Source organism: Homo sapiens, chromosome 3 (assembly GCF_000001405.40).
Source record: "Homo sapiens chromosome 3, GRCh38.p14 Primary Assembly".
Lineage (NCBI taxonomy): Eukaryota > Metazoa > Chordata > Mammalia > Primates > Hominidae > Homo > Homo sapiens.
The window spans coordinates 167,790,954-167,803,308 of NC_000003.12; the positions used below are offsets into that span (position 1 = coordinate 167,790,954).

The following is a 12,355-nucleotide window of genomic DNA, read 5'->3' on the forward strand; positions in this document are numbered from 1 at the left end:
TGTGATTAAAATAGAGTAAAAAAGAATTAAAAATCAGAGTTTATACAGGTTTGTTGGCTTTTGAACCAAAGAACTTCATTGGTAATTTAAAACATTTGTATATGATTCATTTTCAAAAGAGCAGCTTATTTTAAGTCCCCCAAAATGGAGAGAAATTAGAATGAGATGCATTCATTCGAAATTTTATTGCTATTTTATATTTTTAAAATGTATTTAGGGTTTCCAAATGTTTCATATTTTAGCATTTTATTTTCCAATTTTACCAGCAAAATAATTGAAATCACAGTCCTAAAATTGAGACTAAATTAAAAGTAAATTTTTATAGCTGTTCATTAAATGAAGCCATATTTTCAAAGCTACCCAAATCATGTTAATCTTGAACTTTACATTGGAACAACAACAAAAATAACCCTGAACAGATACTCAATATCCCTTAATCTCCAAGATGTAGGCATCTTTTACCTTAAGAAGTGCCATGATTAATACAATGAGAGAATACAGAGCAAATTTTTGTCATATGTTTTTTATCTATGAGATTAAAAAAAGATGACAATAAAAGAAACTTAAATGTAGTCTTTTAATAGTCAAAGAATACATCAAGGGGTGATAATGCATATGAAGTAGATTCAACTATTAAAACCCATTTGTTTTCAAACTCCTTTAGACACGTTTAGCAAACAGCAAAGACCCAATATCCTTTAAAATAGATTTGGAAAGGAATATTTCAGATGATAAACACTAATACATCATGATTTAAACTGGCTTTCATTCATCTGTTTTCACCTACCCAAAAGCAATTGGTATATTGGCAGAATGATGTCCAGTATACACAGGGAAGAATTTGAAATTGATAATTTAATCACGTACATTGTTCAAGAATAAACTTAGGACTGGGCACAGTGGCTCATGCCCTGTAATCCCAGCACTCTGGGAGGCCAAGTGGAGTGGATCACTTGAGGCTAGGAGTTTGTGACCAGCCTGGCTGACATGGTGAGACCCCATCTCTTCTAAAAATACAGAAATTAGCCAGGTGTGGTGGCACACACCTGTAATCCCAGCTGTTCAGGAGGCTGAGGCATGAGAATCACTTGAACCCAGGAGACAGAGTTTGCAGTGAGCAGAGATCATACCATTGCACTCCAGCCTAGGTGACACAGAGAGACTGTTTGTAAAACAAACAAACAAACAAAAAACAGAATAAACTTTGAAGCATTTATTGAGTGTTTACTCTGTGTTAAGAGTTTTACATGCATCATTGCAACTAGAAAGTGATTAAGTCTAAGCTTATATTGTATGTGGTTCTGTAGTTTGTGTATCAGGAAGCTACTAGTATTATTTCAGGTGATACGGGTGTTTTGAATGCCCTTAATTTCTTTTTTATATATATATACACACACATATATATATACACACATATATATATATACACACACACATATATATATATGTAGTGTGTGTGTATGTGTGTGTGTATAACTCTTTTCCCTTTGGAAGTAAGATACTTTTTATTTTCATTGTAAATTTGGTGTACAGTTTCTCTGGACCACTCTATCAGATGGTGATTTGAAAATCTTCTGGTCCCCCTTGATCTTCCAGTTTAACATGAATTTTTATCTATTCATTTTTTCCTAAATAGATCTGGTGAAAGATTTGGTATCCCCAAGGGATTTTGATGCTGCCACTTATCTGGCCCTCATTAATGCTGTCTATTTCAAGGGGAACTGGAAGTCGCAGTTTAGGCCTGAAAATACTAGAACCTTTTCTTTCACTAAAGATGATGAAAGTGAAGTCCAAATTCCAATGATGTATCAGCAAGGAGAATTTTATTATGGTAAGACATTTTTTGCTTTTATTTCTCTCTTCTTGCAGAATATCAACAGATTTCTAAGAAAAACATGAAGCATTCATATTCAAACTCCTTGTCAATCTAATTTGGGCTACAATTCAATTTTTTGGCTCCATTTTAAAAACCCTCTAATTAGTTTCTGAGTAAATATTATATTCATTGATGGTTTCCAGAGTATTTTCAAATTTATAAGTCAACCACACCTGCAGAGTAGCTTTATTCATCTGAAAATACCTGACATTGTGTGAGAATGTTCTGATTTACTCCAAAAACTCATTGGGTTTAGGATGGGTTTTAGTGAACCATATGTTCCACGAAGCACTTGATTTAGGCTCTGCACCACTTTTTAAATTACAAACATTCTTCTTATACAAAGACTTTTAAAAAAATTTGATTTTAGACATGTGTATGTATGGCCAAACATAATTGTTTGTTTATGCTTTAATTTATTGAGAGCCTATAATTTTTAATATAATTCAATATCTTTGGCATTATTTTCAAAGGTGTTTTATTGGACTCTTCAGAAGTTTAGGGTATTAGTCCTTCTTATCCACTATATTGACTTGTAATAATTTGTTAAGTCATAATCAGAAAGGTAATTTTTAGCCAGGTATATGTTAGTACTAGTAGTTTTATTCTATTAAAAGCACAGTACAGGCCAGCTGCTGTGGCTCATGCCTGTAATCCCAGTACTTTGAGAGACAGAGGTAGGAGGATTCCTTGAAGCCAGGAGTTCGGACTAGCTTGGGCAACACAGCAAGACCCTTTCTCTACAAATATATATATATATATATATATTTTTAATTAGCTAGGCATAATGGTACATACCTATAGTCCTAGCTACTTGGGAGGCTGAAGGAGGAAGATCACTTGAGCCCAAGAGTTTGAGGCTGCAGTGAGCTATGATCACACCACCGCACTCCAGCTTAGGTGGCAGAGCAAGACCCTGTCTCTAAAATTATATACATACAGGTTTTATATGTAGATAAAACTATATATACTGTGTGTATATATATATAGTTCATTTTGGCCATATGTATGTGTGTGTGTGTGTGTGTGTGTGTGTGTGTGTTAATTTGGCTAAGTTCATAGAGCACAAAGCCAATTGCCTCATTTACCTAATTACCTAATTTGGAGATATCAATATTCACAAATATAATAGCTAAATATTATACAATGCTTAGATTTCATTTTGACTCTGCAAACTTTGCTTTAAAACTTGTAGTTTTTGTGATAATAAAGTGCCAGGTATTAAATGGTCAAATTTTCCCTTCTTAAAAATCAGGTGAATATTGATCAATGTGCTTTGCAGTCAACTTGGAGCCAAGGCTTTATTTTTCTAACCAGGGCTTTTCATTGTTTCTAATGCTACACTTCAGATATATTGAATTATCTCATTTAAAAATAAAAATCAAGTCTTGAATACATGTTATTATAAATGTGAAATAATTCTGTGGATTCTAAAATAAAATAAATTATACAGGGCTGTGAACTTATTTGAATTTTAGGGCCTATTTTCAAATAAACCTGCTTTTTATCAGATGCTTGAATTTCTTTATATTCTATATACTATTTGGGAAGAAACATATATAACAAATTTAAACCTTTTTATTTATTTTTTTTTAGATTTTATTTCAATACTTTTGGGGAACAAGTGTTTTTGGTTACATGAAAAACTTCTTTAGTGGTGATTTGTGAGATTTTGTTGCACAAGTACCTGAGCAGTGTACACTATACCAAATATGTAGTCTTTCATCTCTCGCCCCCAGCTTTTTTTAAGCTTTGATAGGCATCTTTTATGGCCTTTATTTTCTTTTTAGGGGAATTTAGTGATGGCTCCAATGAAGCTGGTGGTATCTACCAAGTCCTAGAAATACCATATGAAGGAGATGAAATAAGCATGATGCTGGTGCTGTCCAGACAGGAAGTTCCTCTTGCTACTCTGGAGCCATTAGTCAAAGCACAGCTGGTTGAAGAATGGGCAAACTCTGTGAAGAAGCAAAAAGTAGAAGTATACCTGCCCAGGTATGAGGTTCCTGTGTCACCCGTCCCACAGCATGGACGATGGGCTATCAATGAAAATCTGACCCAGAAAAACTCTTCGAACTGCTTTCGAATTATAATTCTTGTGCCACTCTCTTCTTATTCTTGTTCTTCTCCTTCTCTTTCTCCTTCTCCTTCTTCTTTGATTTTCTTCTTTTTAGTATTCTTTCATAGTCATTTCTTTCATACTCATGTGGTCCTTCCCGTAGACACATGCTCACTTATTGGTTCATTCGGTGCTATTCATCGAGACCTAGTTTCAGATATAATTCAGTGTTCTTGTCTTTGTTTTAGAAAATTTATCTATCTGTTTTGTCTGAATATCATTTGCATTGACAGTCTTCTGTATTTTATTAACACTTAAGATTGATTATGACTGGAGAGGAAACAATCTCTGACATTGCTAGAAGAACTGCAAGCAAGTCACTGTGCTAGGTGCTGAGATGCAACCATAAATTAGCAGGAAGATGCAACTCTGCTCAAAATTCTCCCTGTGGCTAAAAGAATAAGATGCACACAATGCCTTTGATGTCCTGAATGCCATCCCCTTCTCAACCCCATTTCTGGCCACTCACCACATCAAGCATGTTGTAGCATGTTCTGTCCATGTACTTGTGATTATGCCACGTACATCATGCTCTTTTCATGTCTCTGAATCTCCACTTATGTTCTTGCATTGGCCTAAACTGCCCTCCTCATATTTCTTTCCCAAGATAGTGTTGCTTAGCCTTCAGGGTACACCTCTAGAACCAGTTCTTCTCTGAAGCCTCCCATGGAACTACCTGGAGCAAGTTACCCTCATTTTTGCTTCACTTATACACCTTTCTGTTATTACTTGTTACCATCCCATAATAACATTATCTTTTTGTAGGGCTAGTTTTCTTTCTGTAAGTTCTAGGGTAGAGCCAGTTTTCCTTCCTGTAGAAAGAACACAGTAAGTGTTTACAAAATGAAACTGAACTGAAAATGTTTATTCTATCCTTGAATACCTTAAAACCTAGTAGGAAAACTAGGCCAGTAAACACGTAGAACATGTTTATTAGCATACTATGTAAATTTTAGTCTAGAAAACAAGACATATCAATAAAAACAGATTAAATATATACGTATGTATGTACGTGAAAGTACAGTTAAAACACATTCCATATTAAGAAAATTGTTCAAGTATGATTAATTACTGTGAGCATTAAGGTGATAAATGAGTTATTAGTATTAAAGATGAATTATTAATAACTGATTAACCCATTCATATTTATTCTAATTTTAGGAATTATCATTTAAGGATTACATTTTATGTAAATATCAATGTTTCTAAAAACTTAGCTGATAGTTTGTTATGTAAGTGAAGGAGATCTATTTGGAACTATGGAGTTTTTGCCTGGAAAATTGTTTTATAATATATTCATAATATGGAATATTATGTTATGTCATAATTTATTATATAGCATGTCATGTTATATATTCATAATATATAACTATAAATATATAGCCATATATTTTCTATTTTTTATATTTTATTTTATTTTAAGGTCTGGTATATATGTGCAGAATGTGCAGGTTTGTTACATAGGTAAACGTGTGCCATGGTAGTTTGCTGCACCTATCAACTCATCACCTAGGTATTAAGCCTTGCATGCGTTAGCTATTTATCCTGATACTCTCCCTCCCCGCAACCCCCTGACAGGCCCCAATGTGTGTTGTTCCCCTCCCTGTGTCCATGTGTTCTAATTGTTCAGCTCCCACTTATAAGTGAGAACATGCACTGTTTGGTTTTCTGTTCCTGTGTCAGTTTGCTGAAGATAATAGCTCCCAGCTCCATCCATGTCCCTGCAAAGGGCATGATCTCATTCCTTTTTATGGCTGCATAGTATTCCATGGTGTATATGTACAACATTTTTTTTTTATCTGGTCTGTCCTTGATGGGCATGGCATTTTGGGTTGATTCCATGTCTTTGCTATTGTGAATAGTGCTGCAATGAACATATGTGTGCATGTATCTTTATAATAGAATGATTTGTAATCCTTTGGGTATATACCCGGTAATGGGATTGCTGGGTCAAATGGTATTTCTGGTTCTAGATCTTTGAGGAGTCACTGTCTTCCACAATGGTTGAACTAATTTACATTTCCACCAACAGTGTAAAAAAGTTCCTTTTTCTCCACAGCCTTGCCAGCATGTGTTGTTTCTTGACTTTTTAATAATTGCCATTCTGACTGGCATGAGATGGTATCTCACTGTGGTTTTGATTTGAATTTCTCTAATGTTCAGTGATGTTGAGCTGTTTTTCATGTTTGTTGGCTGCATACATGTCTTCTTTTGAGTCATGTTGTTCATGCCATTTGCCTACTTTTTAATGTGATTGTTTACTCCTTGTAAATTTTCTTATAGATTCTGGATATTAGACCTTTGTCAGATGGATAGATTGGAAGAATTTCCTCCCTTTCTGTAGGTTTTCTGTTCACTCTGATGATAGTTTCATTGCTGCGCAGAAGCTCTTTAATTTAATTAAATCCCATTTGTTAAGTTTTGCTTTTGTTGCAATCGCTTTTGATGTTTTTCTCATGTAATCTTTGCCTGTGTCTGTGTCCTGAATGGTATTGCCTAGGTTTTCTTCTAGGGTTTTTATAGTTTTTGGTTTTACATTTAAGTCTTTAATCCATCTTGAGTTAACTTTTGTATAAGGTGTAAGGAAGGGATCCAGTTTCAATTTTCTGCATATGGCTATATATAGCCACATATTTTCTTGTCTATATACAAAAGTCAAGGCAATCATAACCCAAATCCTTTTGGCTAAGATATTTAGCATGCATAACTTTCTGTGACAATACATATATGTAGAAATATTCCATTATAAGTCTATTCTTAAGGAGAGGTAGTTAATGAATACCTACCAAGCGTTTTTTTTTTATGTATGATAATTGACATTTATATACTAAATATATAAACAATGTACCTTAATTCCAAAGAACAATTTACTTTTGAACATGAATGATTAAATTTAAATTACTATGTAAATCAGGCCTAAAGTTATAAAACATTTAGTCTATGTTGGCCCTCATCTAATGACCTTTCACAATTAATTTTGTATTTTTTCTTGCATTTTATGAAGAATTCTTTTTGATAAAATGAGAAATTCAGTACAGTGTTAATGCTTCTCTTATTAAATCCATGAATTAAGTGCAGTGCTTCCAAATGCTCCAATTCTATGAGGATGCAAATTTATTTAGGAGTATATTAACAGAATTCTAAATGAATGCTTACTAAATATTATACATTCTAATTCAACCATATTCACTAGAAAATGTGGCCTCTAGGTCCTGTCCACTGAGAAACTGAATGTGGCAGCAGAAGAAAATTAAATTTTCATTTCCTAAGAGATACTCTTCAATTATGAAATAGTTTGGCTGTCTTGCTCATATTCATGCCTGTACTAAATTAGGCACAGGTAATTATCATGTATCAATTTTTCCAGAAGTTCCATAAATTCTCCCTGTACATGGCTAATGCATAGATAGGGAGGCTAAATAGCAAAATAAATAACTCTGGATTCCCCTTTTAACAGAATGGCTCTTTTCAAATACTTATATGTTACAATAATCAGTGTGAAACTCTCCACCTTCTCCATTTTACAGCATTAGGATCCACTAAATGTTTGATAATGGTAATGATTTATGTGACCCATTTTTAGCAAAGGTAAAAATGTTTTTCATAGCTATACTCTGTGTTTACTCAAGTGTCAATTTTAATGGTTTGCATAGTTTTATCCACAGAGAGATATTACTCTGAAAATGCAACTTGCATTTCTGTATTTTGACCACATTCTTGTCCTGCTTGACAGGTACTTTTACTTCCTATTTTGCTAGAATTTATACAAACAGCTTTCAAACACTGTCCTTGAAAACCAAATACTGCATTTTCTCACTTATAAGTGGGAGCTAAATTTTGGGTACTCATGGACATAAAGATGGCAATGACAGACACTGAGGATGACTAGAGGAGGGAAGACGGAAAGGGGGCAAGGGTGGAAAAACTATTGGGTGCTGTGCTCACTATCTGGGTGACAGGATCATTTGTATCCTAAACCTCAGCAATATGCAATATACCCATGTAACAAACCTACATACGTATCCCTTGAATCTAAAATAAAAGGTTTTTTTAGCTTTTTATTTTTTCATATTAAAATGCCTTTATATATATTTTTTGAGCTTTCTCTTTATACTTCAAGTTCTGGGATACATGTGCAGAACATGCAGGTTTGTTACATAGGTATACACGTGCCATGGTGGTTTGCTGCACCCATCAACCCATCACCTACATTAGGTATTTCTCCTAATGCTGTCCCTCCCCAAGGCCCCAACCCTCCAACAGGCCCCGGTGTGTGATGTTCCCTTCCTTGTGTCCATGCATTCTTATTGTTCAACTCCCACTTGTGAGTGACAACATGCGGTGTTTGGTTTTCTGTTCCTGTGTTAGTTTGCTGAGGATGATGCTTTCCAGCTTCATCCATGTCCCTGCAAAGGACATGAACTCATTCTTTTTTATGGCTGCATAATATTCCATGGTATATATGTGCCACATTTTCTTTATCCAGTCTATCACTGATGGACATTTGGGTTGGTTCCAAGTCTTTGCTATTGTGAATAGTGCTGCAATAAACATACGTGTGTGTGTGTCTTTATAGTAGAATGATTTATAATCCTTTGGGTATATACCCAGTAATGGGATTGCTGGGTCAAATGCTATTTCTGGTTCTAGATCCTTGAGGAATTGCCACACTGTCTTCCACAATGGTTGAACTAATTTACACTCCCACCAACAGTGTAAAAGCATTACTATTTCTCCACATCCTCTCCAGCACCTGTTGTTTTCTGACTTTTTAATGATCGCCATTCTAACTGGCATGAGATGGTGGTATCTTATTGTGCTTTTGATTTGCATTTCTCTAATGACCAGTGCTGATGAGCTTTTTTTCATATGTTTGTTGGCCACATAAATGTCTTCTTTTGAGAAGTGTCTGTTCATATCCTTTGCCCACTTTTTGATGGGTATTTTTTCTTGTAAATTTAAGTTTCTTGTAGATTATTATCAAAATAATAAAAATATATAAAATGCTGTCTTTAAGAGGTAAAGGGGAGGGTATATGCAGGGGAGGGTCGTGTAGAAGAAATTGCTTTTGTATTTTAGCAGTTTTTTTCCTCTTAACAGTAAGTTCTACAGAAATTATATGCTGAATTGAAATTGTATTTTTATCCAAAATATAAGAATCTATTCAAGAAAAGGTAAGATTGCTGTACCTATTACCAAATCCAATGAAATACCGCAAGATTTATATACATAGTTGTACATCTCTAAGATTTAAATAAGATTGCCAGATCCTTCCATTTATCCATGGTAGCAAAAATAGTTTGTTTCATATATAAAATATTTATGTAAAACACCCAAAAAGCACTTAAGTATAAAATCTGCTACAGCGTAAGCATTATGTGATTATTACCTATTGTTAATATTATTGTAGTTTGTTTAGTGTACATTTTAAGTCCTGGTATTTACACTGTGTTAATCTTATAGGTAGCTTTATATATACTTCTCTCTAAATTGAGTTTTTTAAACTTGATTCTTTTGAATTTTCTCCTCTTCAGTGTATATGCTTCCTTTTCAGTCTTTACTGATATAGCTTAGATATAAAAAGATTTTTCTAAAGTCAGCATCAAATACTTTAATACTTGGAAGCAGATGTACCTTGCTGTATGTAGTATCAGTCTACTCTGGCTTTGTAGTCTCAGATTTGTCATTTGTGATCAGAGTGTTGGACATCAAAGGATGTGAAGTGGTTCTCTATTTTGTAACCAGAAACTATCCTGATATTTTGAAATAATTGCCTATTAATAAAGCATTTTAGTTTCATGTTTGTAAAGAAAACTACATAAGTCGTCTGCTTTTTTGTTGTTGCTGTTTTGTTTTGTTTTGTTTTGTTTTTCTTTTAGACAGAATCTCACTCTGTCACCCAGGCTGGAATGCAATGGCATGGTCTTGGCTCTGCAAGAGCACTGCAACCTCCACCTCCCAGGTTCAAAAGCCATTCTCCTGCCTCAGCCTCCTAAGTAGCTGGGATTACAGGCATGCGCCACCATGTCCAGCTAATTTTTGTGTTTTTAGTAGAGATGGGTTTTTGCCATATTGGCCAGGCTGGTCTCGAACTCCTGACCTCAGGTGATCCACCTGCCTCGGCCTCCCAAAGTGCTGGGATTACAGGCATGGGCCACTGCACCCGGCCCTGATTTTGTTTTTTAACATGAGTGCTTTTCATTAGATTTTTCTACAAAGGGTATGATTGGGTTTTTAATCCTTATATGTGTTATAGTCTCCTACCTAGGATATATTTGTTATTTTCTAACACTTGTTCTGCAGGTCTTCAAACCTCTACCCTCCATATGGCTCTTCAACTTATTCAGGTAGAAAGTTGCAAATGCAGAAATTACATTGTATGCCTTTATTAAAATAGGCATGCCCTTTGGCTTTATAAAAGCAGTGTCATGGCTTTTAATGTTTATAATTTATGAAATGTAAAATCTACTTCTAATTTTTTTTTTAATTTTTAAAAGTTGTTGTTGGAATTATAGTGATTAGTGATGCGGGGGCTTTACTGTCAGAAAGACCTCCATTCATATCCTCATTCTACCACCTATTATCTGTGTGATTAGAGAAAGTTGCTTGTTGCTTAGCTCTTTTAAGCTTCAGTTTAGCCTTCTGCAGCCAGGAGATAATGACACTTATCTCATAGGGTTGTTCGAGAGCATCATGGAAATCATTAAATAATATATTATTCATAAAAGGATTTGCATAGTGCCTGAAACATAGTAAGCACTCAATATATGGGAGATAACGATTATTTATATTAATATTATCTTTTATTAAGAGGAAAGAAATAATAAATAATCAGTATTTTTCAATAGTTTGCTTTTTAAAAAAGTCAAGGAATGGACAACTAGAGATTATTTACTCCCTATCTTCAACTTTGAACAAGGTCTTACAAACACCTAGATTTTATTTCATTTGCAACCTATGTGGTTTGCTTATGCTAGATATTGCAAATATTGGAACAGAACAGAGCCCTCAGAAATAATGCCGCATATCTACAACTATCTGATCTTTGACAAACCTGAGAAAAACAAGCAATGGGGAAAGGATTCCCTATTTAATAAATGGTGCTGGGGAAACTGGCTAGCCATATGTAGAAAGCTGAAACTGGATCCCTTCCTTACACCTTATACAAAAATCAATTCAAGATGGATTAAAGACTTAAACGTTAGACCTAAAACCATAAAAACCCTAGAAGAAAACCTAGGCATTACCATTCGGGACATAGGCATGGGCAAGGACTTCATGTCTAAAACACCAAAAGCAATGGCAACAAAAGCCAAAATTGACAAATGGGATCTAATTAAACTAAAGAGCTTCTGCACAGCAAAACAAACTACCATCAGAGTGAACAGGCAACCTACAAAATGGGAGAAAATTTTTGCAACCTACTCATCTGACAAAGGGCTAATATCCAGAATCTACAATGAACTCAAACAAATTTACAAGAAAAAAACAAACAACCCCATCAAAAAGTGGCCGAAGGACATGAACAGACACTTCTCAAAAGAAGACATTTATGCAGCCAAAAAACACATGAAAAAATGCTCACCATCACTGGCCATCAGAGAAATGCAAATCAAAACCACAATGAGATGCCATCTCACACCAGTTAGAATGGCAATCATTAAAAAGTCAGGAAACAACAGGTGCTGGAGAGGATGTGGAGAAATAGGAACACTTTTACACTGTTGGTGGGACTGTAAACTAGTTCAACCATTGTGGAAGTCAGTGTGGCGATTCCTCAGGGATCTAGAACTAGAAATACCATTTGACCCAGCCATCCCATTACTGGGTATATACCCAAAGGACTATAAATCATGCTGCTATAAAGACACATGCACACGTATGTTTATTGAGGCATTATTCACAATAGCAAAGACTTGGAACCAACCCAAATGTCCAACAATGATAGACTGGATTACGAAAATGTGGCACATATACACCACGGAATACTATGCAGCCATAAAAAATGATGAGTTCATGTCCTTTGTAGGGACATGGATGAAATTGGAAATCATCATTCTCAGTAAACTATCGCAAGATGAAAAAACCAAACACCGCATATTCTCACTCATAGGTGGGAATTGAACAATGAGAACACATGGACACAGGAAGGGGAACATCACACTCTGGGGACTGTTGTGGGGTTGGGGGAGGGGGAGGGATAGCATTGGGATATATACCTAATGCTAGATGACGAGTTAGTGGGTGCAGCGCACCAGCATGGCACATGTATACATATGTAACTAACCTGCACATTGTGCACATGTACCCCAAAACTTAAAGTATAATAATAATAAAAATAAATAAATAAATAAATAAAT

At 34.9% G+C, this 12,355-nt stretch overlaps 1 protein-coding gene across 3 annotated transcripts in view; it reads left to right on the forward strand.

The window, feature by feature from the left end:
- Positions 1-12,355, forward strand: part of SERPINI1 (serpin family I member 1) — an 89,849-nt gene that overhangs the window by 55,233 nt on the left and 22,261 nt on the right. For all 3 annotated transcript variants that reach the window (NM_005025.5, NM_001122752.2, XM_017006618.3), the window contains exons 4-5: positions 1,637-1,831; positions 3,667-3,871. In NM_005025.5, the coding sequence (NP_005016.1) occupies positions 1,637-1,831; positions 3,667-3,871 (400 nt within the window). The remainder of the gene's footprint in view (positions 1-1,636; positions 1,832-3,666; positions 3,872-12,355) is intronic.